This window comes from Homo sapiens, chromosome 4 (genome assembly GCF_000001405.40).
Source record: "Homo sapiens chromosome 4, GRCh38.p14 Primary Assembly".
NCBI classification, from domain to species: domain Eukaryota; kingdom Metazoa; phylum Chordata; class Mammalia; order Primates; family Hominidae; genus Homo; species Homo sapiens.
Genome location: NC_000004.12, coordinates 86,924,397 through 86,951,848, shown reverse-complemented (window position 1 = coordinate 86,951,848; position 27,452 = coordinate 86,924,397). Strand labels below are relative to the sequence as shown.

Below are 27,452 nucleotides of genomic sequence, written 5' to 3'. Positions count from 1 at the left end.
AGGTCAAGATATCGAGACCATCCTGGCCAACATGGTGAAACCCGTCTCTACTAAAAATACAAAAATTAGCTGGGCATGGTGTGCCTGTAGTCCCAGCTACTCAGGAGGCTGAGGCAGGAGAATTGCTTGAACCTGGAGGTGGAGGTTGTAGTGAGCCAAGATCATGCCACTGCACTTCAGCCTGGTGACAGAGGGAGACTCCGTCTCAAAAAAAAAAAAAAAAAAGAAAAAAAGAAAAAAGAAAAAGAAAAAAAAGTTCCCTAACATCCCCCATCTTTACCTTTTCCTATTAATATGAAATGTACAATATATATTCAAGTTAACTACATGTGGATCAAAATACTAAAAAGTCAAAGATGTAAAATGGGTTGCAAGTTAAGAGGGTCAAGCAGCTAACTAAATGTGTGAATCTGGCTGTGCAGAGAACTGTAACGAATTGAAAAGCGTCAGTGCTTTCTCAATTTTTTTTTTTTGTGACATCAAGTCTCTGGGGCAAACGGACAAAGCAGATGATGTCTGCAGGAGGAAATTAGATAGGAGCTCTGGCTGACCTTTAGGCTGGGGGGCGGGGAATCAACATCGTGGCACACCTGAAAAGCATTTGATGGCACACCAATTGGGAAGTTCTGAATTAGAAAGCCTGTGTTCCGCTTAAAAGAGCCGAAGCTATTCAATTCTTTCTGAGCATTGCTATATGACAATGCAAGCCCAGGGTTGCTAAATCTTACATTTTTCATGAGAAGATAGAAGATTGTTATGTAAAAAACACTGGCAGATAATTTCTTTCAGAATTCCGTGACAGGCTAACCAAAACCCATATGTTGACCAGATCTGTCCCACAGTCCACCAGCTTACAAGTTCTGATTTAAATGCAAAAATGAAATCGTACAAGTGCCAGCAAAGAACACATGACATTATTTTCACAATCTTGGAGGAGGAAAGACCTTTCTAAGCACAATCAAGCCAGAACCCATAAAGGACAAGACATTTAACTACATAAAAATGTAAAACGTATGTGTAAACCCAACATTATGAATAAACCTAAAGACAAATGACAACAGCTTTCCCCCAGGCTCTAGCAGAATGTGAACTGCAGCAGCCAGGGTCAACTAACTGTCTTCCCTTTGGTGAGGGGAGAGAGTAAACCAAGTTTAGCAGCCCACAATGATGACCAGGAATTGAATAATTTCCTAAATGAACCAGAAAGGGGGAGAAGTAGGAGAACATTTGGGATGGTCCACAATTGCAGGCACCATCATCTATTCTGTTGCATTATAAATAAGTCTGAGTCTACATTTCTTATAATGTTTTTATTTTTTAGACTAGTGAAATGCAGTAGCAAGAAGTGGGAAAAGAATTCTATTATAAATAGAAATTATGGCTGGGCACAGCGGCTCACGCCTGTAATCCCAGCACTTTGGGAGGCCAAGGCAGGTGGATCACCTGAGGTTAGGAATTCGGGGCCAGCCTGCCAACATGGTGAAACCCCGTCTCTACCAAAAATTAGCCAGGTGTCGGGGCATGCGCCTGTAGTCCCAGCTAATTGGGAGGCTGAGGCAGGGGAATCCCTTGAACCCGGGAGGCAGAGGTTGCAGTGAGCCAAGATCATGGCACTGCACTCCAGCCGGGGCAACAATAGCGAAACTTTGTCTTAAAAAAATAATAATACCTCGGGATGAGACATGGGCAGCATCTGCCTTGTCCGGTGCTGGCCCAAGTCCCATCCCTGCCCTGCTCCCTTTCAGAACTGCACCTACTACTGGGGCTTCGCCGCGTGGATGGCCTATTACATCAATCACCCTCTCTACACTCCCCCTACCTACGGAGCTCAGCAGGTGAAACTGGCGCTCGCCATCTTTGTGATCTGCCAGCTCGGCAACTTCTCCATCCACATGGCCCTGCGGGACCTGCGGCCCGCTGGGTCCAAGACGCGGAAGATCCCATACCCCACCAAGAACCCCTTCACGTGGCTCTTCCTGCTGGTGTCCTGCCCCAACTACACCTACGAGGTGGGGTCCTGGATCGGTTTCGCCATCATGACGCAGTGTCTCCCAGTGGCCCTGTTCTCCCTGGTGGGCTTCACCCAGATGACCATCTGGGCCAAGGGCAAGCACCGCAGCTACCTGAAGGAGTTCCGGGACTACCCGCCCCTGCGCATGCCCATCATCCCCTTCCTGCTCTGAGCGCTCACCCCTGCTGAGGCTCAGCCCCTCAACCCGGTGGCATTCTGGGGGAGGAGTGGGGCCCACAGCTCTCCAGCACCCGGAATAAAGCCCGCCTGCCCCAGTCGGGAAAAAAAAAAAAAAAAAAATAATAATAATAATAATTAATAAATAGAAATTATGATAAAAGTAACAATAAAAACAACTCTGCAATTGCTAGAATGTTACTACAAGGGGTAGTAGTAACATTTAAAAACATTTAATACGTTTTTGGAGTAGCGCAGAGGCTCACGCCTGTAATTCCAGCACTTTGGGAGGCCGAGGCAGGGGGATCACCTGAGGTCAGGGGTTAGAGACCAGCGTGGTCAACATGGTGAATCCCAGATACTTGGGAGGCTGAGGCAGAATTGCTTGAACCTGGGAGGTGGAGGCTGCAGTGAACTGAGGTCACACCACTGCACTCCAGCCTGGGCAACAGACTGAGACTCCATCTCAAAAAAAAAAAATATATATATATATATATTTTTGAATAGCTAATACTTTAAATAAAAACTAATCAGTGATAACAATTCTTTCCGAATGTCAAATGAGTTATTATGTAAAACTGCTTCAAAATGTTAATATGATCCCCTCAATCAACACTGATCAATTACTATATGCAAGAAGGCACTAAATTGTGTGTGCAGAGTTGGAGGGAGAGATGTGAAAGGGGCAAAATACAAATATGAAGGAATTCCCTCCTTCACAGCTTTCAGGATGAGATGGATTTGTTTATTTATTTCAAGCACAGGCTGAACATGTGTATGCTTTCCCCAAATCAGTGCAATCTTGTTATCCTGAACACAGCATTAGAATGCTGATTTAATCATTTAAATTAACATCCACATTTTTAAAAAAAATGAGTTAACAGACTCAGCGATTGCTAGATTTAAAAGAAAATATGTAGCCAGTCCAACAAGTTTGACTTCATGTAGAGAAAACTGAAAATTTCAAACATTTTCTTGCACCCGTGAGTTCTTAAGTTGCAAAATTGAAAAAGACCAAACTTATTCATTGAAAAGTAGATTATAAAATTAAATATCAGCATGTCTTTGAATCATAGATTCTATGCTTACCTGTTGCCACTGCTGTTGACTCTTTCTGTAAATGCCATTGTTTCCAGTCAATGCAAAGTGGCTAGTCTGTTCATCTGAAAGAGAAACAAAGAGTAGCCTGTGAACATTAGCCTGTGAGTAAATTCAGGGATACGCATGACCTGTAAGAAGCTTTATTGGAGACAGAATTCCAAGTTCTCATTTGAATTAGAAAATGGTTCTCCAATTCCCAAGTTGTATGAACAAACTATCTAGTATATATCAAAGGCCAATTGCACTTTTAACTGTGAGGCTGCTTCTCAAAGCCATTTCAGCAAGAAAACAATGTGCACAAGTTTACCATAAGGAGGAGGGGGAGGAGAAAAGGAAATACCATTCCCCTGGTGCCTACTTTGTGCCAAGCATTGTGTTAAATATAAATAAGCCCTTTTAAAAATGGCATTTCATTAATACATTACAATAAAGTTGCAAGGCAGATACTAATATCCCATTTTATAGTTAAGAAAATGGAGACTCAAACACACACAAAAAAAAACAACCAAGAAATGTAGACTTAGTTTTAAGTAATTTGCCTAAGGTCACAGGTTGTGTCAGCATCCTCACTAGAATTAAAAGGAAGAAAAGGTAAGAGTGTCAACTATGCAAGAGAAAGGAAATCAACAGGTCATTCTCACATAAGAATGCAACACTTAAGAAAAGTGGGTCCCAGTGACAATCAATCTTAAGATTTTACTTCCACTCATTAAAGGTACTTAATCAAAACAAAAAAAAAACAAACAAAAACCGAAATAAAACAACTATTGGGCATTCTTTCAAAACAAGACTGAATTTGGGGGAAAAATTATTATCCAATCTGGGCAGATAGTCTTGGTACTATCTTGGGTAACTCTGGAAACAACCTCTCTTTATGGTTAACACTGTCTACAGCTGTTTCCTTTTCCCTCTCTAGTGAGTATTTATAAATTGACTACACTTATCCTAACTTGCATTAAATAGTTTGTTTTACTTTTCAAACATCCTTAAGGCAAAGAAAGGTATGTTACTAAATTATCTTAGTACAGACTGGACAAACCATTTGATACAAATGGAAACACACATTAAATTTGTAATCATTTTAACTTGCCTCTGTTTAAGAGGCTGTTACAACTTTGGCTGAGGTTGAAACACTGAATATAGTCCTTCACAGCTCTATTCTTACTCCCGATAAGGTCTTTTATCTCCCTCTCCATGAAATTTAAATTGCTGACTTGCTAACTACATGTTTCCATACTAGCAGACATAATTTGCCACTCTTTCTCCTCTCTCAAAAGATTGCAGCATGGATGTTAAAATATTCTAGTTAAACTCACACTAGCAGAGATCTACTTTTCAGGGTCAAACATGTGTCACTCTTCTGACCAGCAATAGTGGCCCCCTAGGCAAGTTTTCTCAATTCTCCAACTCAATCCCCACTAGTCTCCCTTCCCTTCCCTCACCACTTACTATCGCTCACTTTCTCCTTTTTCTCTTTCTCTGCATCGCTAGCTCTACCCCTGCCTTTGCTGCTCACACTTTCTCTCTCTTGACTTGCAGGGCTGGCACACAGTAAGTGATCAATAAAACACTATTGTATTCCTGTTGGCATTATTCTTCATAACACTTCTGTAGAGGCATCTGAAGAGTCCCTGATGGCAGTTCCCCACATTACCCTCCCAGTGAAGATGCTCAACCTGCTTGCAACCCAATAGCACCCACCCCTAGGGCTCTTTGGTGGAGAGTGATAACAGGAGAAAAGGAGACAGGTTGGGCTGTTGGGTGGCTATCAATCTGAGAGGGGTCCTGAGTTCACTTGTTTGTTGACTGACTGACAGAACCAACAAATGTATCCTGAGCATCTGCTGTAAGCCAGGTACTAAGAATAAAGAGAGTGGGCCGGGTGTGCACCTGTAATCCCAGCACTTTGGGAGGCCAGGGTTGGCTGAATGCTTGAGCTCAGGAGTTCAAGACCAGCCTGGGCAACATGACAAGACCCGTCTCTGCTAAATATAAAAATAAATAGCCAGGTGTGGAGGTGCATGCCTGTGTTCCCAGCTACTCTACTTAAGAGGCTGAGGTGGGAGGACTGCTTGAGTAGGGATGCAGGTGGGGGTGGGTGGGGGGTGGGGGTGATGTAGGTTGCAGTGAGCTGAAATTGCACCACTGCCCTCCAGCCTGGGTAACACAGCAAGGCCCTGCCTCAAAAAACATAAAAAATATAGTGAAGAAAAGACTCTTGCTACCATTGAGCTTACATACTACAGAAGGTAAGCAAAGACACATTCAGTAAAATATATAGATGTTAGAAAAGCAAAATGGGAGTGCAGAGAGGAATCAAGGTAGGGTATTGCGGTTCTACGTAGGGTGGTCAGAGAACACAACATTTGAGCAAAGACTTAAAGTGAGGAGCAAGCCATAGAGATCTGTAGTGGAAAAGGGTCCTCGGGACTGATAAGTAGAAAACTGAAGGAGTGAGCAACCCCCCAGGTCTCACCGCTCAGGAGCACTACAGATACATCATAATGAGATGCCTTAAAACATCAAAAAGAACCACATGGGTTAATCTAAGCAAGATCTAAATAAAATGTACAATGTGAGCCAATTTTTTGTTTAATGCTTTAAGTTTATGCATACACACAAAGTTTGGAATAGCATATACCAAACTGTTAATAGTAGCTTTCTGGAAAGGGAAGAGCTTTGGTGAAGAGGCCAGAGCAGGAGATTTAAAAGGGCATTTTCACCTTTTATTCTGTTATGCTATCAATCTTTCAATATAATCCTCCATGGGCCAAGCATGGTGGCTCATGCCTGTAATCCCAACACTTTGGGAGGCCAAGGTAGAAGGACTGCTTAAGTTCAAGATCAGCCCTGGAAACACAGTGACACCTTGTCTCTACAAAAATAGAAAAATTAGCTGGGCATGGTGGCACATGCCTGTAGTCCTAGCTACTGAGGAGGCTGAGGCAGGAGGATTGGTTGAGCCCAGGAAGGAGGAAGCTGCAGTGAACTGTGATCTGTGCCACTGCACTGCAGCCTGGGTAACAGAGACCCTGTCTAAAAAAAAAAAAAAAAAAAAAAAATTGGGAAAGGCTGGGCAAGGTGGCACATGTCTGTGGTCCCAGCTACTCAAAAGGCTAAGGTGAGAGGGTAGCTTGAACCCAGGAGGTGGAGGCTACAGTGAGCTGTGATCACACCACTGCACTTCAGCCTGTGTGAAAAAACAAGGCCCTGCCTCAAAAAAAAAAAAAAAAAAAAAAAGGAAAAGAAAATAAGGAAGATACTAACTTGGCTCTATTTAAAAACAGAGTAGTGCTGTACAGCAGAAAGCAGCTAGGCTCAAGTGAGCTGCATGATCACCTTGGACAAGTTAAGCTCTATCAGCCTCCATGCCCCTATGTGTAAAACAGAGACCTTCCTACCTTCCAGAGTAACTGAGAAGCATATATTATATCACCTAGCTAAAATACCTAGCACACTGACACATGGTAGCAGCTATATCCACACTAAATTTTATGTGAATGATGCAAACTTTATTTCATTTTGGAATGTTCCATGGCAGGAATGTACATTACTATCTAAGTGACCTTTCTATAGTCCTCCCTCTCTTGCTTACCAAATTTATTCAGAAATTAAAATGTCATGTGTATCAAACTGCTTTTCTTCCTCAAACAATTCATAATTCAAGAGTGTGTATACACATACATGTGAGTATATACACATATATGTAAGTTTTATGGACACTCACACCACATACATACATAAATAGAAAAAAAGGGAGAAGATGAATATAAAAAGTGACTCAAGATGTTTTCAAATATTCTGTTCACTTAGGTCATTAAGTGCTTCCAAACCTAGTACACTCTGGGGAACCTACTCTCAAGAGTCTTTACCACATGCTGGTAAAAGACCTGCTTTGCAACTAGCTATAAGACCTCGAGGCTGGGCGCCGCGGCTGTCTGTAATCCCAGCACTTTGGGAGGCCGAGGCGGGCAAATCACGAGGTCAGGAAATCAAGACGATCCTGGTTAACATGGTGAAACCCCATCTCTACTAAAAATACAAAAAAAATTAGCCAAGCGTGATGGCGCGTGCCTGAGGCAGGAGAATGGCGTGAACCTGGGAGATGGAGCTTGCAGTGAGCTGAGATCGCGCCACTGCACTCCAGCATGGGCGACAGAACAAGACTGTCCAAAAAAAAAAAAAACCTCCAGAAAATTATTCTTCTTAAGGCCTCAGCTTTCTCATCAGTAATACAGGGGCTTCATGGGATTGTCGTCGGGGACATAATGTTTGTAAAAGTTTTAGCACAATGACTGGCTCATGGTAAACATTCAATAAATGATAGTGGTTGTTCTAGTTATTTTTTTGGCTGGCCAAACCATGTGCTGGGGCAATTCCACACACTAGGGAAGACTTTTTTTTTTTTTTTTTTTTTTTACAGGGTCTTGCTCTGTCACCCAGGCTGGAGTGCAGTGGCACAGTCATGGCTCACTGCAACCTCAACCTTCTGGGCTCAAGTAAACCTCCCACCTCAGCCTTCAGAGTAACTGGGACTACAGATGTGTGCCACCATGCCTGGCTTATTTCATTTTATGTTATTATTGTTTTTTTTATTTTGGGTAGAGTTTCGTTCTTGTTGCCCAGGCTGGAGTGCAATGGCAGGATCCTGGCTCACCACAACCTCCGCTTCAGGGTTCAAGCGATTCTCCTGCCTCAGCCTCCCGAGTAGCTGGGATTACAGGCATGCACCACCACGCCTGGCTAATTTTTTTGTATTTTTAGTAGAGACGGGGTTTCTCCATGTTGGTCAGGCTGGTCTCAAACTCCCGACCTCAGGTGATCTGCCCACCTCAGCCTCCCAAAGTGCTGGGATTACAGGAATGAGCCACTGCACCCGGCTAATTTTTGTATTTTTTGTAGAGACAGGAGTTTGCCATGTTGCCCAGGCTGGTCCCGAAAATGCTGGTATCACAGGTGTGAGCGACTGAGCCCAGCCTGGGAACTTTTCAACTGGACAAACAGAGCAAGCAGCTCCCCAGTCCCCGGACCACAATCTAGTTTCCAAAGGAGAATATGAGAAAAATTACTCTGTTCAGAGGCCTGTAGGCTAGTTAGTCCCTCGTCAACTATACTTCTCCTTTACCCAGGAATAACAGTCTCTTGGTAACAGGCAATGTGTTAGGGATAAGTCATGGGACATACATTCTGTTTTAGTCTGATTCTCTAGAACTCTACCCCTAGTAGAGAGATCTACCCCTGGGAGAGATCATAATCTCCCAGGACCCCAAACTGACCTGATCATCTACAGTTCCTCTAGGCTCTCCAATGCACATGGACCTCACAAGCTCAGAAATCCATAAAGGAATACAATTTCCCCAACTATCTCTTCTACACTTTGAAGTTTTGTTCAACGGGGTTCTGGTGCTACGCTACACTCAAGTACACATCCCACATATTGTTGGCTCCCTCTGATCATTAGGTGCTCAGCTCCAATGACATTCTCAGAGAGGCCTCCACTGACTCTCAAAGCTAATGTGACAATGCTGTCCCTCAAGGACTCTCTCCAGCCAACCCACAACTCTCTACTCCATTATGCTTATTATATGGGTTAGGAATGTGTTTAGCTGTAAGTAATAACTGTTTAAATTAATAGAAGTTTATGTTTCTCCTACAGCAAGTCTAGAAGAGGGTGGCTACTTGGCATACTGTTAGCTATGCAATGAGGCATCAGGAACTCTGACTTTTTCTGCTTTGCCTATTTAGCATGTTGTCTTCATGCTTGCCATGGTCCATCTTATGAACGAGAGATCTCATTCATATTCAAGGCACGAAGAGGAGGAGAAGAGGAAGGTGTGGCTTTGCCTGACATATTTGTCTATTTTTGCCAAAAATCTTTACCATCAAAAAACCAGAACTAGGTCACCCAGGTTCTTCTAGCTTTAAAGGAAGCAGGTAAATCAAGATACAAACTGTCACCACTGGCTGAGAACAAACATGATCTATTACCTAAGACTGGACAAATGTAGTCTCTTAGCAATTAAAGTTCTTTTAGTGACAACAAGAACAAACAGGAATGGCTACTGAGTAGGAAAATAGCAGTGCTGGCCACACTTCTATTTTTTCATAGTACTTACTACTTACTATCTGGAGTTAACTTATGCTAAATAAATAAATGTTTATTGCTTATCTGTGACTCACTGCTTATCTGGACAGATGAGTCACCTGATTCTGTGTAACCATAAAGAAGCTAGGAAACACAGAAAAGCACATGGATATTGGTAGAAAATGTCTCTACCTCATTCCCTGTGGGCTGGTAAAATATCGTACAAGGCATTGTCCTCATTTCAGAATTTGGACCCTTACAAAAGTTTCTTGGAACAAACTCAAAGTTTGCCATTTATTCAAAGTAAACCAATTACTTCATCTTATGAGACAATATTTACCATAAAAAAGAAAAAAAGACTGAGAACACAATCTCTTCCTTCAGGAGTAATAATAGCAAACATTTATGTAGCACTTACTATGCTCTGCTCCAAGAACTTGCCAAATCTTAGTACCTTTACTCTGTTCAACTACTCAATAAAGAAGATATTGCTATATTGCTCACTCCAATTTATAAGGAAAAAAAAAAAACGGAGGATTGGAAAGGTGTTCGGAGACAATTTCTCCATGGGTCTGTGGTATTTGTGCATATTTTTACAAGCAGAGGCATCAATTGTCTTTTTGTTTCAGATTATCTTTTTCGAGACAGGGTCTTGCTCTGTTGCCCAGGCTAGAGTACAGTGGCAGGATCTCAGCTCACCACAGCCTAGGTCAAGGCTCAAGCAATCTTCCCACCTCAGTCTCCTGGGTAGCTGGGACCACAGGCATGCAACACCATGCCTGGCTATTTTTTATTTTATTTATTTATTTATTTATTTATTTATGAGACAGAGTCTTGCTCTATTGCCCACGCTGGAGTGCAATGGCACAATCTTGGCTCACTGCAACCTCCACCCCCAAAGCAATTCTCCTGCCTCAGCCTCCCGAGTAGCTAGGATTACAGGCATGTGCTACCACGCCGGCTAATTTTTGTATTTTTAGTAGAGACGGGGTTTCATCACGTTGGCCAGGCTCAACTCGAACTCCTGACTTCCAAGCGATCCACCCGCCTTGGCCTCCCAAAGTGCTGGGATTACAGGCGTGACCCACTGCGGCCGGCCCGCCTGGCTATTTTTTAAAAAAACTTTTGTGGAGACGAGATCTCACTACGTTGCTTAGGCTGGTCTCAAACTCATGAGCTCATGCAATCCTCCCACATCAGCCTACCAAAGTGCTGCGATTACAGGCATGAGGCACTGTACCTGGCTGTTTCAAATTATCTTTAAAGATGTTTGTATGGTGAACAGCCTTGGAAAATTAGGGATAGTCTCCTAGCACTAAGGGCAGCATGTTCACTATGCAGTATAATCAAGATAAAACTCTCCCTTCACAGGTTTTGTTTTGAAACCGAGTCACGTTCTGTCACCCAGGCTGGAGTGCAGTGGCACAATCTCGATCACTGCTCACTGCAACCTCCACCTCCAGGGTTCAAGCGATTCTCCTCCCTCAGCCTCCCAAGTAGCTGGGATTACAGGTGTCCAACACAATACCCGGCTAATTTTTGTATTTTTAGTAGAGACAGGGTTTCACCATGTTGGCTAAGCTGGTCTCAAACTCCTGACCTCAAGTGATCCACCCACCTTAGCCTCCCAAAGTGCTAGAATTAGAGGCATGAGCCACCATGCCCAGCCCCTCCCTTCACAGGTTCTAATGATTAGGGGAAAGAAAAATAAAAAAAAGATAAAATCTCCCTGTGAAGAGCAGACACACTTACTGACAACTATAAAAGATTAGGAAGGCCAGGCACAGTGGCTCACATCTGTAATCCCAGCACTTTGGGAGGCTGAGGCGGGTGGATCATCTGAGGTCAGGAGTTCAAGACTACCCTGGCCAACATGGGTGAAACCCCGTCTCTACTAAAAATACAAAAATTAGCTGGTCGTGGTGGCACATGCCTGTGATCCCAGCTATTCGAGTGGCTGAGGCAGAACTGCTTGAACCTGGGAGGCGAAGGTTGCAGTGAGACAAGATTGCACCACTGCACTCCAGCCTGGGCAACAGAGTGAGACTCTGTCTCATAAAAACTCAGGATTCCCTTCCTGTTAATACAACCCACTGTTTTTGCATGTGTCACTTGGCTCTCTTCCCCTCTTCACATAACCCTTTGGAAAATTGGGGCTTAGGAAACCAGTCTAAGAAAATGTTGATATTCTGGCTACAGCTATCTTGATGAGTGATAAAGTCATTCCTCTGTAACCCAGGGGTCCATGAAACTGTGGCAGGTTAGTTAGCTTGAGAGTAGGGTAAAACCTCAGACTTCACAGGTGCTGTTGCTGTTGTTTAAAGAAGGGGTCTCACTTTGTTGCCCAGGCTAGTCTCAAATTTCCTGGGCTCAAATGATCCTTTCGCCTCTGCCTCCCAAAGTGCTAGAATTACAGGCGTAAGCAGCAGTGCTCGCTCAGCCTTCATAGTTCTTGAAAAAAGTAATTTGCCTAAGGTCTGACAGCTAGTAGGTAGCATATCCAAGATTCAAACCCAAGCTGTCTGACTCAGAAACCTTTTTAAACTCTCTGCTATACCACAGTGGTTCTCAAAGTGTTGTTCCAGAAATAACAGCATCAATATCAGCCACAAACATGTTACACATGCAAATTCTTGGGCATTACCCTAGACCTGCTGCATCAGAAACTCGGGGGACGGGTAAGAGGAGCACACCTGTGTTTTCACAAGCCTTTCAGGAGTACATTATAGGTCTGAGAACTACTGCCAGGCTGCACATATTCACTGTATCTATAAGAAGGAAATGGTATGAGTATGTTCTGACTTACATAGGGATATGCTCTAAAAAATTTATGAACTGAGCTTTCACAAGTTGAATAATAGTTTTCAAGCACTAAGGCAGCTAGTCCGTAAGGCCCTCTATTTAATTTTTAGAAAGGTAAGGATTCTTATCTAGTGCAAATAAACACCACGTGTCTGTTAAATAGGTTTGCATAATTTTTTCCTTTGGAGGCACAAATGTTCAAAATCCTAAATGAAAATACTTGTTTTTATTCCCATAGTGATCAGAAAGAATTACTTACCCAAGGAGAAACACTATTTATATTTTAGAGTCAAGCTGTAATTCTTGAAAAACAGGAAACCACACATCAACATAGCCAACACAGTGTACCATAGTAGAAAGGGCACCAGGCTTTGAGTCACAGAGTCAAGTCACTTAACTTCTTCAACTCAATTTCCTGATTTTAAAATGGAAAATGAATTCCAATTTCAGAGTCACAATTAGGCTTAAATGATTATGCCATGTGAAAGCTGTTGGTAAACAGTGAAGTGCCAATATAAGTTCCACCTGCACAGGCCCTTTCTCTTTCTTGATCATGTTACCATCACAATTTCTCCAATGCTTAGGATACCGTCTGGCTCACAGAAGCTACTCAATACTTACGCGGTATTAGGAATGAATATGAGATACTATATTAATGATGTAATTGATTCCTTCAGGCACTATTTGTCACAATAATCTCAGTCTTTTAATAGGAAAAAGTCACTCTAGCAAGAAATCCTTAGTCATGTTTAAAATGGGCCAGATAATTTAAGAAAATCAGCTGATTTTCTTCCCTTCGGGAATACTACTGAAGTTCTGTCCTAAGGCATACAACAGAAACTCCTATTAGCAACCCTGATGACCTTGGGGTCTCATGGTGTCAAGTCTATAACAATCTGTTGTCCAGATATAAACAATCATGAATAATGGATGTGTACCTACAAAGAGCCACATATTTCACATTTATTTCCATGCTGTGGTAGAATTTTAATAAATGGATTACAGAGTTTATGTAATCTATTTTAAAATCTAAGATCCAAATCAACACTATTAAATAAGCTTCTACTGTGTCTTAAAAAAAGAGACTACTAGAAAGCAACTGCCAATTAAACTTCAGAAACCATTGTTGAATTTATTATTTGAGGAAAATATCACTAATCAAACTCTGTATATTTATGGTAAATACACTTACTTTTTTCCTTTTCTTTTTTTTTTTTTTTTTTGAGACGGAGTCTTGCTCTGTGGCCCAGGCTGGAGTGCAGCAGTGCAATCTCGGCTCACTGCAACCTCCGCCTCCTGGGTTCAAGCGACTTTCCTGCCTTAGCCTCCCGAGGAAGCGTAATTACAGGAGCACGCCATCATGCCCAGCTACTTTTTGTATTTTTAGTAGAGATGGGGTTTCCCCATATTGGTCAGGCTGGTCCAGAACCGCTGACCTCAAGTGATCCGCTCGCCTCAGCCTCCCAAAGTGTTGGGATTACAGGCGTGAGCCACCACACCTGGCCCCAATGAGGTTCCTTAATTTGCACTCTCTCTAACATACTTTCTCAATCTCCCAAAAAATTAGTTAATGGTCTAGAGCCTTGAAATAAAGGAACTTTGGGCCCACAAATTACAGAGTTGAACATAGAACTCCTTCCATCAGCTTTTCAAAAAATATTGAAAACAAGTTTACCCTTTCTAAGCTCAATTTTTTCACCCCTCTTTTCAACTTTCAAGGCAATATGAAACTTCAACTAAACAATCACCTGGCTAAAGTGACTTGTAGGCCAGGCACGGTGGCTTCCACCTGTAATCTCAGCACTTGAGGAGGCAAAAGTGGGAGGACTGCTTGAGCCAGGAGTTCAAGACCCACCTGGGTAACATAGGGAGCCCCCCACCCCCACCCCCACCCCAAGCCATCTCTACCAAAAGATTTTTTAAATTAGCCGGGCATGGTGGCATATGCTTGTAATCCCAGCTATTTGGGAGGCTGAGGAGGGAGGATCCCATGAGCCCAGGAGTTGGAGGTTGCAGTGAGCTATGATCGTGCCACCGCACTCCAGCCTAAGTGACAGAGTGAGAACCTGTCTCAAAAATAAATAAAGTGACTTGTAAAGGTGCCTGATAAATATATATGTATTTTAATTGAATAGTCTCTTCCAAATTTAATCCAAAACCTAATTAAGCAAGTTCTCAGTCAATTAAAAAAGTAACTTTCACCTCAACCAGCTCTGCAAAATTCAGTTAAACCGGAGAGGAAACAGAAGAGACAGCTAGTTTTGATATAGTCTTATTACCCTATAGTAGATTAGTGATTCTGGTGGCAAAAAATGCATGCCTGTTACGCATGTAGGAGAAAGCAATGTTTACAATGGCCTGGACTTTTGTCATAAATTTTCAATCTCTAAATGATCTTTGTATTCTAATTTAACACACTGTGATTCTTCAAAATTATAGTTTTGCAAAGTTGAAGAGTTAAGCAAATGCCAAAGCCACAAATTCAATTGTTACAGTGAATAAGGCAGATTAATATTTAACAGTTCATTTTCTTGCAGGTGAAAAGCAAAGAATTCACAGCAACATACCTGCAAGTCTCACATCTCCAGCCTCAACATCCTTGTAAGTTATATTTGAAAAAAGAAAAGTCTCCAATATCTAAACTCATTTTCCCCAAAAGTCCCACTCTTCAATCTCTATTTGTCTCAAAGTGACCAAATCTATCCCAAATTATTTCCTTGGTTCTTTCTCTCCATAAAAATGGCTTAATTCCAGTGAGTTTCTCTAGTTTTACGTACTACTTATGTATTTTGTTGCTTTCTCTCATCTCCCCTTGGATCATTTTCCTTTAGTTCTCACCACTGCTTTTCTCCATATTTATCTTCAAATATTCAAGTACAATACTTCCCAACATCCACAAGAGACAACACCTTGAAATTAAAGCAAGCAAACCATCCAGAATTTTCCATTCTCCTGTGAATCTACTTCCGGAATATCCACTCAAGTAATCCTTCCCACTAAAGATGAAAGGCGAGCTAAGGAAATACATTAGACAGAGGAAGTAAACACTGAAACAGGGCCATGCCTAGGTATTCTTCGGCCCCAAAGAAAAAAAACTAGACTCTGGGTCCAAAGGTCTTTTTCGTGACTTTTATCCCCACCCAGAGGCCAACACCACGCAGGTCTGAGAGAGGTAACCCACGGCCACCTACCTTCTACACACACCGCACGACCTTGCTCTGAAATAATCTTGCACAAGCAAAATTCTCCACGCCTCTCAGACTCCTACCTAACGTTTCTGTGCTTCAGTTTCTGAGCTCTTCTCACTTTGCAACTGTCCCAGGGAACACTGGGTCTTCGCCTTAATTTACAAGTTTGCACTGAAGGTTTTAAATCAGTCTGATTTCCCCGTGGTGAGTCACACCCCGCAACGTGCACCAAGGGGGAGGGTGTTTAAAATTATCTCCGGCTCCACCCTTAAAACAAATCACTTGGCTGCAAGGCCTTTCCCCCTAACAGAGACTGGTTCAAGGGAGATTCGGACACATCTCCACCTCCAAAGCCAAGTGCCTTCCCGGGATGATCTGCATAACAATTTGCGGGTGCTGGTGGTGGAGAAGCTCCGGGAAGAGAAAACTAGCCGGACGGTATCGAACCGCCCGCAGGCCCGTCGCAGCTCCATTAATGCAACTACCATTACACTAAGGTAACGTGTGATTCACACTCTCCACCTTCTCTCCCCTCTCATTCGCTGGCTCCGGCGCTCGCACCGTCGGAGGGTGGGGTTGCGACGGCCACAGAGGATGGGACACCCGAGGGAAAAAAGCATTATCAAGAGAAATTAACCAGTCCCATACTAAAGACGCCTCTCCCTCTGTCCCTGAAGTTAAGTCTCAGAAGGTGGCTCCAACTCCTCCCCGGAGGCTACGGACCACCGACACACGCCTCCCTCCTGCTCTCAGCGAGACGCGGCGGGAAGCCCTCATCTCTCTCCACGACAGGCACAGGGAAGGGTCCCGGGGTGCAGGAGAGAAGAACCCCACTTTTCCCCGCCCCCTCCCCCCGAGAAACTTCTGGGACTCATTACGCAACTCAAGTAGCAGGTCCCAACAACGGGACAGCTCTCCGCAAAACGCGGGGTGCACAGGCAAACGTCTGACTTGGGGGCTGCGCGTGAGGGAGGAGCATGGGTCTCTTCCCATGTCCCCGTCCCCTGTTTTTCTACGCGCTACCTGCCGCGGGATCGCAAGTAGGGCGGTGAGAGCTCTGAGCCCTAGCCCGTTCTCCCCGAGGGCTCCCACCGGAAAAGTGGGAACGCCAGCGACTTGAGTCAGCGTGCTGGGAAGCCGGCAGAGAGGCGGGGAGAGCCTCGGCTTCCGAGAAGTCCGCGGCGGCGGCGTCGGGGGCCGGGCGGATCGACCCCCAGCCCTGGGTGGCGCAGGGCTGCGCTCACCTTCCAGACCCTTCCGTCCTCTAGTCCCGGGTCGGGCGCCCTCGTCACCTCCGCCCTCCCCTGACCTGTTGCGGTGGGAAAGGGCGCAAGTGCGGACGACGCAGGGGAGCGCCTCCTCCCGGGGCTCGGCTGCGGAACCGCGGAGGCAAAGGTGCAGCTGCGGCCGCAACGCGCGCAGGCGGCGGCCGAGTGCGCAGGGGCCGCGCGCGCCCGTCGCTCGCTAGCTGGCTGGCAAGCTCAGCACGCCGGCTGCCCGGGACGCCCCGAGGCCACGCCCTCCGCGCGAGGCCCCGCCCCCACCCCCACCTCCCGAGCTGCGGTACCGGGTTCCGCCCCGGCCCGCGCCCTCTAGCTGGCGCCACCCAAGCGGCAAGGGACGTCGCGGCCCTCCCGGGATTGGTGGGAGGATCGTGGGGGAGCGGCAGCTCAGGACGGAATACGGCAATGACCGCCCCGGTCGCGAGGGTGACCCTGCCCCGGGCTGCTGTGGGGGCGCAAGAACCCTTTCACTTTACGGCGAGATTAAGCTCAGGGTCAAGTTCTGAGCAAAAAGTGTCAAGGAGCCTTTTTGCAACCTCCTATAATATTGAAACAGATTCTGTGCCCTTTAAAGGAGATAATAACTAACATCTGGGGAGCGCTTTACAATTTAGAAAAGGCCTTTCACACACAGGCCTGTTTCATCTTCACAACAATCTTATAAAACAGATATATTGTTCCCATTTCCCAAATAATGAAACGGAAGCGCCGAAAAGTAAGTATTGTGCTCAATGTCACAGGCTACTAAGTGGCATGGGAAACCAGGTCTCCTGAATCTAGCCTCCGGGTTTCTGCTCTCCACCAGCCCAACCTCAGAAAATTCTAATAGGTGCAGGGGGCTTTGGCAAATAGACCCATGGGAAGAAGGGGAAACTTATGTCTAGTTAAGTCGCTGCCCGATTCCTGCTGTAAACATACCAAGGAAAGCAACAGGCTGTCTTCATTGTGTTGTCGCACCTTCCTTCCTGAAAGGGACGCAGAAAGATTACATCAAATGGCCCAGATGAGATTTCGCCGACAGTATTTTATGGTTTAAAATGGGTGAAATTATTTGGATGAAGAAAAGCGCCTTACTTAAATTTAATATGATGTGTAATGTAAATTGGTATAATGTGTGAAAATAAGCCCCTCCCTGCCTTCTCTGCCTTTTCTCTTTTTAATTTTGTTTGTCTCTACTGCTCTGCTCAACTCTTTTATTGTCCACATAATTGAAAACCTAATTGATGGATATTTGCATTTCCAAATTAAACCTTTGGCTACTTGACTTAATTTCCCATGGATTGTTTTCCAAAATATAACTCTTCGCCCTACTCCATATCCTCCCATCGGGAGATTGGTTTACCTAGACAGCTAAAATAATTAAGGTGTCCCTGATGAAACCTGGTGGTGTATCTATCTAAGATGAAAGTTCTGGTCATCCCTGAGCAGGATGGGACAGGAGTCATCTCTTACAAAGTGTTTGTACACCTTTTAAAGGTTTCTAACAGAGACTGATCTCTATTCTAATCAATAACAAGTATTTTAACGTTTTTGCTATATAATGAATACATTTCATTGTGAAATATATATTAGCATGGTAATATTTTATAATCTGAAAACTTTTACCACTTCTATCTAAAATGTTTTCCTTTTTTGTGTTCTTTTTGTGTCATCCCATAGTATCTCCTATAGGGCTCTTCAAACTGTGGTCAACTTAGTAAATGATGTTGACAGTGGAAGTGTGATCATTTTATTTTCCTGCCTTTGGAATTGAAGATTGTAATTTTGCAAAAATTTTGTTGAAGATGATGTAGCTTTGGTTCAGAGAGTAAGTCATTCCATTTATATCAATATTCTTAAGGCAATGTGCTAGGTGACGAGCCATATTGATGACAAAGACAGAGCTCCTATTTTCATGACATTCCAGTGTGGTGGCAGAAACAAGCAAGTAAATAATTCCAGTACACACTTCTGTTGATTTATTTCGTGAATGGTGACTGGCTATTTAAAAAGACTAAATCAAATTAATTTTCTGATAATGAATAAAAAAGGATAGCCATGCCAGTGAGTTATTATTATTTTTTAAGTTGCCTTTCTCTCTCTTCTGCTGGTCATCTTATATAAATAGTCAATAAGAAGGCTATTTTAAAAAGTGATTACACTATATCTACTTTAAAAAATTTTTTATATCTACTTTTTAAATTTCAGACATAAACAAAAGGAGAGTAATTATGTAATGGAGTTGCAGATATTTAACTTTGTTAGCTACACTTTCCTCCATCATCTTCCTTACAAGAATTCTTAAATTACATTTTTAGCACACTCAATGAAATTCCAGCACTTTCTTAATTTTGACAACCTAATCTCATACATTTCAGATTATGTTTCTAATAAGATGAAGCATGTTTCTGACATCGGTGCTTTTTTTTTTTTTTAACAGAACCCCCCCACCCCCCCAAATAAATCTCCCTTTTAAATATGATGATGGGACTTTTTAGGTGCTTCTTCATATGAGGGCTCCTGGGATGTTACCTGACAATTTTCAGCCATGATTTTACTTAAAATTTAAAAACAAATTAGTTAAACCCCTGGGACTCATAGAAGCTCACAGGATGTATTCTCAGAGCACCTAAACAGCCCATGAGGAGGGAAGACAACATTAAGATAGAGGCAGGTGAGGAATGTGCCCAGCATCACAACATGGACAACTGTTTGGTCAAACTGAAGTACTTCTAAACTCTGCAGTTGTGCAAGATCCAAGCATTTTAAGCCAGCAGTTTAAATTATGTTCCTCCAAATGACTGCATGTATATCTCAAAGGGCATTAACTTATTCTCGCAAAGTATATAAATAAATCTTTTTTTTTTTTTTTTTTGATATGAAGTTTCACTCTTGTTCCCCAGGCTGGAGTACAATGGCACCATCTCAGCTCGCCGCAACCTCCACCTCCTGGGTTCAAGCGATTCTCCTGCCTCAGCCTCCCGAGTAGCTGGGATTACAGGTATGCGCCACCATGCCCTGCTAATTTTGTATTTTTAGTAGAGACGGGTGTTTCTCCATGTTGGTCAGGCTGGTCTCGAACTCCGGACCTCAGGTTATCTGCCCATCTTCGCCTCCTAAAGTGCTGGGATTACAGGCGTGAGCCACCACGCCCGGAATAAATCTTTTTTTTTTTTTTTTTTCTTTTTGAGACAGAGTCTCGCTCTATTGCCCAGGCTGGAGTGCAATGGTGCAATCTCGGCTCACTGCAAGCTCCGTCTCCCGGGTTCACGCCATTCTCCTGCCTCAGCCTCCTGAGTAGCTGGGACTACAGGCGCCTGCCACCACGCCCGGCCAATTTTTTGTATTTTTAGTAGAGACGGAGTTTCACCATGTTAGACAGGATGGTCTCAATCTCCTGACCTCGTGATCCACCCGCCTCGGCCTCCCAAAGTGCTGGGATTACAGGCGTGAGCCACCACACCTGGCGGAACAAATAAATCTTAACCTGAGCATATACTTATGATTAAAAATAGAATAAAATAAGGCCAGGCACTGTGATCACGTTCAGAATCCCAGCACGTTGGGAGGATGAGGCAGGAGGATCACTTGAGCCCAGGACTTCAAGACCAGCCTAGGCAACGTAGTGAGTTCCTGTATCTACAGAAAGCAAAAAAATTAGCTAGGCATGGTTGTGCACAACTGAGGTCCCAGCTACTTCAGGGGCTGAGGTAGGGGGATAACTTGAGCCCTGGAGGTCGAGGATGCGTTGAGGTATGATCATGCCACTGCACTCCAGCCTGGGTGACAGAATGAGACCCCACCTCAAAAACAAAAACAAAAAAATTAAATTAAACAGCCAACCCAGACTCCGGGGAAAGCGGTGTAGATGAGGAGAGGGAGATGCTGGCACTGAGGAGGGATGAAAAAGGAGGAAGGATTAGTCTAAGCCAGGTTAAGGGAAGTAGAGGAAGGGCCAGTTCCCAAAAAAGAACAGAAATCAAGAGGAGGAGCGGGACTTCAAGGCAAAGATTATGAGGGGGGCAGTGATATGAAATAGGACAGGAAAAGTCAACCAGAAACTGATAGTGAAGGGCACTACATGCCAACCTACAAAGCTTTCCTTTCATCCTAAATGCGGTGGGTAGGAGATTGATTTGATCATGTGGCATTTTAGAAAGATTACTGAGACTGCCACATGAAAGTGGATTGGAGACAGTCAGGCTACAATTATAATCCCTAAGGTTATGCAAGAAAATGTACAGAAAGCCAGGTATAGATTGTGGGCAGATAGAGAAATTCTTAGTTATCTGTCTCTATCTGGGAGGCAGATATGCAAATGTGAACTTGCTGTAAGAAGAACCAGGTGCACAATTATTATAATTAAAATAACTGTCTGTATTTTGTGATGAATACTTTGCAGAAAACGTGATTCCTAGTGACCTGACATCACTTTTTCTAACAAATATGAGGTTCATATTGTATGTAAATTTTTCCTCATTGCTACACACTACTCCCCAAATCCAGTGGGGACTGTGAATGCTTTTTAGTCATGTAGTTGTATTGTTCAACTGATTTCACATTTAAAGTAGTAATTTGCAAAATTCCAGTGCAGCTGGAACAAAACACAATGTGAGCACAATAATATTTTTTCATCCCCCAAAACAAATGTAGGGATTTAACTGAGTTTCCACAATTTCCCAGACATTGTACACATATAACTTTATTTAATCTCCTTGAAAATGTGGGTATATTGTCTAGTTCATGAATAAAGAAGTTATAACCTCAGAGAGATATTTCATCTTGATCATGATTACATAACCAATTAAATAGTAGAAGTAGAATTTGAACTCAGCTCTTCCATGGCTGAAGGCCATGTTCTTAACACTATACACAAAATTAGATTAGTATAAGTGTTTCAACTAGTGTCTATCAGTGTGAAATTCACATCAGCAGGCTCAAGGGAGCTGGCAATGGGGTTTTCATGCTGACAGTTATATCTGGAGGACTAAATAAGAAGAGGAAAAGGAAACCTGAATGATTATGGGAAAGTCAAATAGTTGAGAAGTGGGAAGGAAAAGAAATAATAGAGAGGGTTAGACTAGAAAAGCTAAGTAACAGTGCCCCGGTGGAGCAGGATTGGAGGTAAGAGCACCCTAAAGACTATGTCACAACTTCAAGAACTCAGCACTCAATACTTTGTTTCATCCCAACCCACATCTCTCTTCTAAGTTCCAGACTATCACCCTCATTGGTTTGCAAGAAATTCCATGTGGTTGTCCCACAGGCAAAATAAATTCAATGTATCTAACGTGGAACTTATACTACCCAATTCCTGTTATTTGGTTCTCAACTTTTGTTAATGGTGCCATTATAGACTCGGGATTCTGATTCAAGTGTCCATTATTACCAAGTCATATTTAACTTTCCTCTTAAATCTCTCCCTTCCTTATGAGTTTTCTTCCCTTTTTTTGTTTTATGTCTTTATTCTTGTATTAAATAGCTACTGTCAGGTACTAATTCTGCTCAGTTCTGGGGATATAAAGAGAAGTAAGAGAATAACCTTGTTCTCAGAGAGTTCGTATCTAGAAGGAGAGTGTGGTAGGCAGAAGTCTAAGATGGCTCCCAAGATTCCCAATCCCACATGATTTCATTTCCTCTCCTTGAGTGTGGTTGGGTCTGACTGAACCAGGTGAGCTCTTTTTTGAAAAGAGGATCTAGGAGCCAAAGAAGGAGTAAGTCAGAGAGATCCAAAGCTGCAGCAGCTTCTCTTCTGTTGGCCCTAAAGGAGCAAATTACCATGCTGTATAGAGGCCATATAGCAAGGACTTGAAAGCATCCTCTGGGAGCTGAGGGTGGCCTCTGGCCAACAGCTAGTAAAAATAAAAAATAAAATAAAAAAAGGCCACAGTCATAAGAAATGGATTGTGCCAAGGGAACTTGAAAATGAACTTTCCCTAGTCAAGCCTCCAGATGAAGATACATCTGGCTACACCTTGATTTCAGCCTAGTGAGATCCCGAGCAGAGGACCCAGGTAAAACATGCCGCAAGTCCAACCTATGGAAATTGTCAGGTAATGAATGAGTGTTGTTTTAGACTGCTGAGTTTGTGGTAATTTGTTATGCAGCGACAGAAAACTCATACGGAAAGAAAAAATAAATCTATGTCTTGCTCAGTGCTAGGCTAGAGGCACACATGATAGAGCATAGGAGGTTATCAGAGCACAGACAGGGACATCCAACAAACACTAAAGGACTTGGGGAAGGCATCCTGGCAGAGGTAGTAACTAAGATGAATTCTAAAACAAAAGAGGGAGAAGAGAGAAGGAGAGGGAAGGAGGAAGAAAAAAAATTTTTGAAAGAAGAAAAGAAAAGAGGAAGTTGGGGAAAATGTGTGTGATCAAACGGGGACATGAAACTTCGTGGGCAGAGGGAGTTAAATATCCACAGGTCCCAAAGTCATAGAGTTCATAGTGACCTTTAGAAACTAAAAAGACATCAATATGTCTGAATTTGGGGACGAATGGTAAAAAATGAGGATGGAGATGTAAAAAGAAAAAAAGAACATTTACCATTTACTGATTGTATACTACGTGGAAGCCCACAGTGTCAGCTCAGCCTGCTTCAACACAACCCCAAGTCAGAGATAGATGGCACAGGTCATCTGCTCGTTTGCCTCAAATCTAGTCTAGTCTAGTCTAGGTGCCCTTCCTCTACTCTGCCTTCAGTCACGGGGTAGATTCTCCCAAACCACCTTTTCAGGGCTTCTTTGCTGGGAAACTGGCTTCTGGGTGGGTTTGGCCAATGGAAGGCACTGGGAGGAGATAGAAGGGCAGGAAGAGAGGCAACTCCTGGGCATTTCTCTTCTTTCTCTGCTCTGGGCAATGGCTCTGGCCCAGTGGCAGCACCTCCCCCATAGCCCCAGCTTCTACAGATCCCAATGAACAGCCCTGCCTCCTGAGCTCCTGTAACACTAAGTTCTCCCTTAGTCCCCACCTTAGGGTGGCAGTTGCTTAATGCCTGAATAGTCTCACCTTCCCCTTTTGGGTCTTTCAGTATTAAATTTTCTCCACTGAACTACCTGGCATGAGTGTTATTTTTGTAACTGGATCCTCACTGAATCACCATGTTTGACAAATAGCTACGAATCAGAAAGATTGAGCAACTGCCTAACGTCACACAGTTGGGATGTTGTGGGGCTGGGTTGTAGATGTTTGGCTGTGAAGCCCATCTCTTTCCACCCAGCTGCATTGTCTCTCAGAAACTTTCCATCACCATTCTGAGTCAGCTCTTTAGAACTTCACCATTACAGCAACCTCCACTCTCAGATGAATCTTCCTTAATTATACCTCTGGTCATGTGATATATGTGGCAATTGCAAAGGGAATTCAGTATCAACTCCTCATTCTAGACTCCAGGCTTTCCAGAATTTTTTTTTTTTTTTGAAATGGAGCCTCGCTCTTGTTGCCCAGGCTGGAGTGCAGTGGCGTGATCTCGGCACACTGCAACCTCCACCTCCCGGGTTCAAGCAATTCTCTACCTCAGCCTCCTGAGTAGCTGGGATTGCAGGCGCCCACCACCACGCCTGGCTAATTTTTGTGTTTTTAGTAGAGACAGGGTTTCACCATTTTGCATTTTGGCCAGGCTGGTCTTGAAATGCTGACCTCATGATCCACCCGCCTCGGCCTCCCAAAGTGCTGGGATTACAGGCATGAGTCACCATGCCTGGCCCCAGAATATTTCTTAAACCAGTCTTTCTGACTTCACTTTTGCTAGACATTTTGCTCTACTGGAAAGCTGCCCTTGATTTTCACTTGTACGTATTTACTTATTCTATTTCTGTTCCCTTTAGCTAGAATGCTCTAGTTCTACCTGTAATAAAAACAAAAACAAAAACAAAAACACATGACTGGATCTTGCTATGTGGCCCATGCTGGGTTCAAGCAATTCTCCCACCTCAGCCTCCCAAAAGTGCTGAGATTACACACATGAGTCACCATGCCCGGCCTCCACCTTTTGATATATCTGTCCTTTGAAGCTTATTTATTCATGTATTCATTCATTCAACAAGCCTGGGCAGGGTACATTCTAGGCCCTTAGGAGGGAAAATAGAACAAGATGACTCCTATCTTCTAGAATGGGGGTGGGCATACTTTTTCTGTAAAGGGCCAGATAGTAAACATTTTAAGTTTTATGGGCCACATGGTCTCTGTCACAACTACTCAACTCTGCTATTATAGCACAAAGGCAGCCATAGGCAGTACATAGAGAATGAATATGATTATTCCAACAAAACTTTATTTACAAAAGTGGGTGTTAGGTTGTAGTTTCCCATGGTTTGTTGAGGCCCTCCTCTAAAAACTCACAGCTAAACAGATGGAAAAGCCAGCAGGAAATGATAATGCATAAAACATATCAAAGAAATATGGAGGATTGTACGGCAGGCACATGTGACAACAATAACATAAACATACCCTGAGAATGACCCGGTATGGCAGATGCACCTGACAGCAATAACGTAAGTATACCCAGAGAATGACCCTGTATGGCAGACTCACCTGACAGCAATAACGTAAGCATACCCTGAGAATGACCCTATCGTCTAAGAAGAATGTGTGTTTGGAGTTCCAAGCTAAGGAATCTAGGAGTGGCCAACCCGGAGATTCATTCCTTATCTATGAGGACCATAACCTGCAGCCTATTCCCTGGAATGCAGGCTGTACAGGGGATGGAGGCCCTCTTTTGTTTTGGGTTAAATGAACATTGCCAGGTGGAGGTTGCTAGGGGAAGTGTGTTAAGTGAAAATGCTATATAAATTGCATGCTTTTTACAATTGGTTGTGGTTCTCCTGTCCAGCCCACCAACACTAGACCACCCTGTATTTAAGTCTCCTCAATAAACCCTGTCTTGTTTGCAGGTTCCAAGTCTCTTCTTCGGCCTCTCAAACATGGTACCATCCCTAATGAAGTCAACGGGTCCAGCATGACAGGATGGAAGTACAAGTGTCAGCACCTATGTGAGTCCCAAGAGGGGAAATTAGAAACAAAAAGGAAGAAGAGGACATAGGCCAGGCACGGCGGCTCACGCCTGTAATCCCAACACTTTGGGAGGCCAAGGTGGGCAGATCACCTGAGGTCAGGAGTTCAAGACCAGCCTGGTCAACATGGCAAAAGCCCATCTCTACTAAAAAATACAAAAAATTAGCCAGGCGTGGTGGTGGGAGCCTGTAATCCCACCTACTCGGGAGGCTGAGGCAGGAGAATTGCTTCAATCTGGGAGGCAGAGGTTGCAGTGAGCTGAGATCGTGCCATTGCACTCCAGCCTGGGCGACAGAGTAAGACTCTGTCTCAGAAAAAAAAAAAAAAAAAGGAAAAAAAAAGATGATATAGTCAAAGAAATAACATTAAATTTCTTATAATTTAAGATGAATGATTTCAGATTGAAAAGTTTATAAAGGTGCCAAAGAGAAAAGGAAAGATCCACACTAGATACATTAGAATGAAATGTCAAAGTAACATACATAAAGAAGAAATTCTGAAATCTTCTAGAAAGAAAGAACATGTTATCTATGAAGGAACAAGGATCATATTGATATTAGATTTCTCAACAGCACATGTGCTGCAAGAAGACAAAGGAGTAATATTAAGTATTGTGAAACAAACCTAGAGCTTAGAATTTCATATTTAAAATTCTAAATAAATTATCATTCAAATTGTTATAGTTTGGGGGCCAGGTGTGGTGGCTCATGCCTATAATCCCAGCACTTTGGGAGACTAAGGCGGGCAGATCACTTGAGCTCAGGAGTTTGAGACGAGCCTGGCAAACACGGCAAAACCCCATCTCAAAATACAAAAATTAGCTAGATGTGGTGGTGCATGCCCATAATCCTAGCTACTTGGGAGGCTGAGGCACGAGAATTGCTTGAACTTGGGAGGCGGAGGTTGCAGTGAGCCAAGATCGTGCCATTGCACTCCAGCCTGGGCGACAGAGTGAGACTCGGTCTCATATATATATGAGACTGACAAATTGATACAGTTTGGATATATGTCCCTGCCCCAGTCTCATGTTGAACTGTAATCTGCAATGTTGGAGGTGGGGCCTGGTGGGAGGTGGTTGGATCATGGGGGCAGATTTCCATGAATGGTTTAACACCATCTTCCTGGTTTGTCCTCATGACAGTGAGTGAGTTCTTGAGAGAACTCATCATTTAAAAATGTGTGGCACTTCCTCTCTTTCTCTCTTGCTCCTGCTCTGGGTATGTGACGTGCCTGCTCCCCCTTTGCCTACTGCCATAATTCAGAGTTTCCTGAGGCCTCCCAAGAAGATAAGCCGATGCCAGCACCATGCTTCCTGTAAGCTGGCAGAACCATGAGTAAATTAAACCTCTTTTTTAAATAAGTTACCCAATCTCAGGTATTTTTTATAGCAATGTGAGAATGTGCTAGCACACAAATATGTTACCACTTAAATTATCATTCAAATATAAAAGCATAGTAAAGCTGACATTAAGCCTCAAGCATACAAGTTCACAGAAAATTTGTCACACAAGGACCCACATTATAAGAGAAGCAGAAATTCATACTGCTTTAAGAGATATCAGAGGCTGGGTGTGGTGGCCCATGCCTATAATGCCAGCACTTTGGGAAGCCAAGGCAGGAGGATCGTTTGAGCCCAGGAGTTCAAGACCAGCCTGGGCAACATAGTGAGCCCTTGTCTCTATAAAAAATAAAAAAATTAGCCATGGCCCTGGTGTGGTGGCTCACGCCTGTAATCCTAGCACTTTGAGAGGCCGAGGGGGGTGGATCACTTGAGGATAGGAGTTCAAAATCAGCCTGGCCAACATGGTG

The 27,452-nt window shown here is 43.5% G+C and overlaps 2 protein-coding genes, 1 long non-coding RNA gene and 1 pseudogene across 17 annotated transcripts in view, besides 8 other annotated features; 3 read left to right on the top strand and 1 right to left on the bottom strand.

Moving 5' to 3' along the window:
• The window catches only part of AFF1 (ALF transcription elongation factor 1), a 206,029-nt gene extending 189,191 nt beyond the window's left edge, over positions 1-16,838 (bottom strand). For 4 of the 9 annotated variants that reach the window (NM_001166693.3, XM_005263009.5, XM_017008215.3 and 1 more), the window contains exons 1-2: positions 16,609-16,838; positions 3,278-3,351 (exon numbers count right to left, since the gene is read on the bottom strand). In NM_001166693.3, coding sequence (NP_001160165.1) covers positions 3,278-3,315 — 38 coding nt within the window. In that variant the 5' untranslated portion in view covers positions 3,316-3,351; positions 16,609-16,838. Of the gene's footprint in view, positions 1-3,277; positions 3,352-15,367 lie in introns of all 9 variants that reach the window. The other 5 variants (XM_011531973.4, XM_047415703.1, XM_047415705.1 and 2 more) reach the window with 2 other exon arrangements.
• TECRP1 (trans-2,3-enoyl-CoA reductase pseudogene 1) lies at positions 1,739-2,291 on the top strand (annotated as a pseudogene).
• Positions 11,297-11,797: an enhancer, noted in NCBI's record as "H3K4me1 hESC enhancer chr4:87861204-87861704 (GRCh37/hg19 assembly coordinates)". NCBI's record gives its function as "activates a minimal SCP1, AML or CMV promoter by ChIP-STARR-seq in naive H9 embryonic stem cells {active_cell/tissue: H9 hESC(naive)}" and the evidence as "EXISTENCE:reporter gene assay evidence [ECO:0000049][PMID:30033119]".
• Positions 15,379-15,920: an enhancer, noted in NCBI's record as "OCT4-NANOG-H3K27ac hESC enhancer chr4:87857081-87857622 (GRCh37/hg19 assembly coordinates)". NCBI's record gives its function as "activates a minimal SCP1, AML or CMV promoter by ChIP-STARR-seq in naive H9 embryonic stem cells {active_cell/tissue: H9 hESC(naive)}" and the evidence as "EXISTENCE:reporter gene assay evidence [ECO:0000049][PMID:30033119]".
• Positions 15,404-15,523: an enhancer, noted in NCBI's record as "active region_21696". NCBI's record gives its function as "activates an Ori minimal core promoter by ATAC-STARR-seq in GM12878 lymphoblastoid cells {active_cell/tissue: GM12878}" and the evidence as "EXISTENCE:reporter gene assay evidence [ECO:0000049][PMID:35858748]".
• The window catches only part of C4orf36 (chromosome 4 open reading frame 36), a 60,000-nt gene continuing 48,192 nt past the window's right edge, over positions 15,645-27,452 (top strand). For 3 of the 7 annotated variants that reach the window (NR_183022.1, NR_183021.1, NM_001414641.1), the window contains exons 1-3: positions 17,117-17,362; positions 18,307-18,454; positions 25,523-25,621. The gene's annotated coding sequence lies outside the window, so the exon portion shown is untranslated. Of the gene's footprint in view, positions 15,862-17,116; positions 17,363-18,306; positions 18,455-19,529; positions 19,628-25,522; positions 25,622-27,452 lie in introns of those variants that run through there. The other 4 variants (NR_183020.1, NM_001414640.1, NM_001414639.1 and 1 more) reach the window with 3 other exon arrangements.
• Positions 15,775-15,913: a silencer, noted in NCBI's record as "fragment chr4:87857088-87857226 (GRCh37/hg19 assembly coordinates)". NCBI's record gives its function as "represses an EF-1alpha promoter that drives an FKBP-Casp9 reporter gene in an ReSE screen in phorbol 12-myristate 13-acetate-treated (for megakaryocytic differentiation) K562 erythroleukemia cells {active_cell/tissue: K562(+PMA)}" and the evidence as "EXISTENCE:reporter gene assay evidence [ECO:0000049][PMID:32094911]".
• Positions 15,921-16,462: an enhancer, noted in NCBI's record as "OCT4-NANOG-H3K27ac hESC enhancer chr4:87856539-87857080 (GRCh37/hg19 assembly coordinates)". NCBI's record gives its function as "activates a minimal SCP1, AML or CMV promoter by ChIP-STARR-seq in naive H9 embryonic stem cells {active_cell/tissue: H9 hESC(naive)}" and the evidence as "EXISTENCE:reporter gene assay evidence [ECO:0000049][PMID:30033119]".
• Positions 15,921-17,133: a biological region, named in NCBI's record as "OCT4-NANOG-H3K27ac hESC enhancer GRCh37_chr4:87856539-87857080".
• Positions 16,384-17,133: a silencer, noted in NCBI's record as "silent region_15551". NCBI's record gives its function as "represses an Ori minimal core promoter by ATAC-STARR-seq in GM12878 lymphoblastoid cells {active_cell/tissue: GM12878}" and the evidence as "EXISTENCE:reporter gene assay evidence [ECO:0000049][PMID:35858748]".
• On the top strand, positions 16,999-26,955 carry AFF1-AS1 (AFF1 antisense RNA 1). The gene is made up of 3 exons (NR_038841.1): positions 16,999-17,362; positions 18,307-18,454; positions 25,523-26,955. It is a non-coding gene; the product is annotated as an AFF1 antisense RNA 1 (long non-coding RNA).
• Positions 26,558-26,852: a silencer, noted in NCBI's record as "tiled region #3757; K562 Repressive non-DNase unmatched - State 11:FaireW". NCBI's record gives its function as "represses a minimal TATA promoter and a strong SV40 promoter by Sharpr-MPRA in K562 cells {active_cell/tissue: K562}" and the evidence as "EXISTENCE:reporter gene assay evidence [ECO:0000049][PMID:27701403]".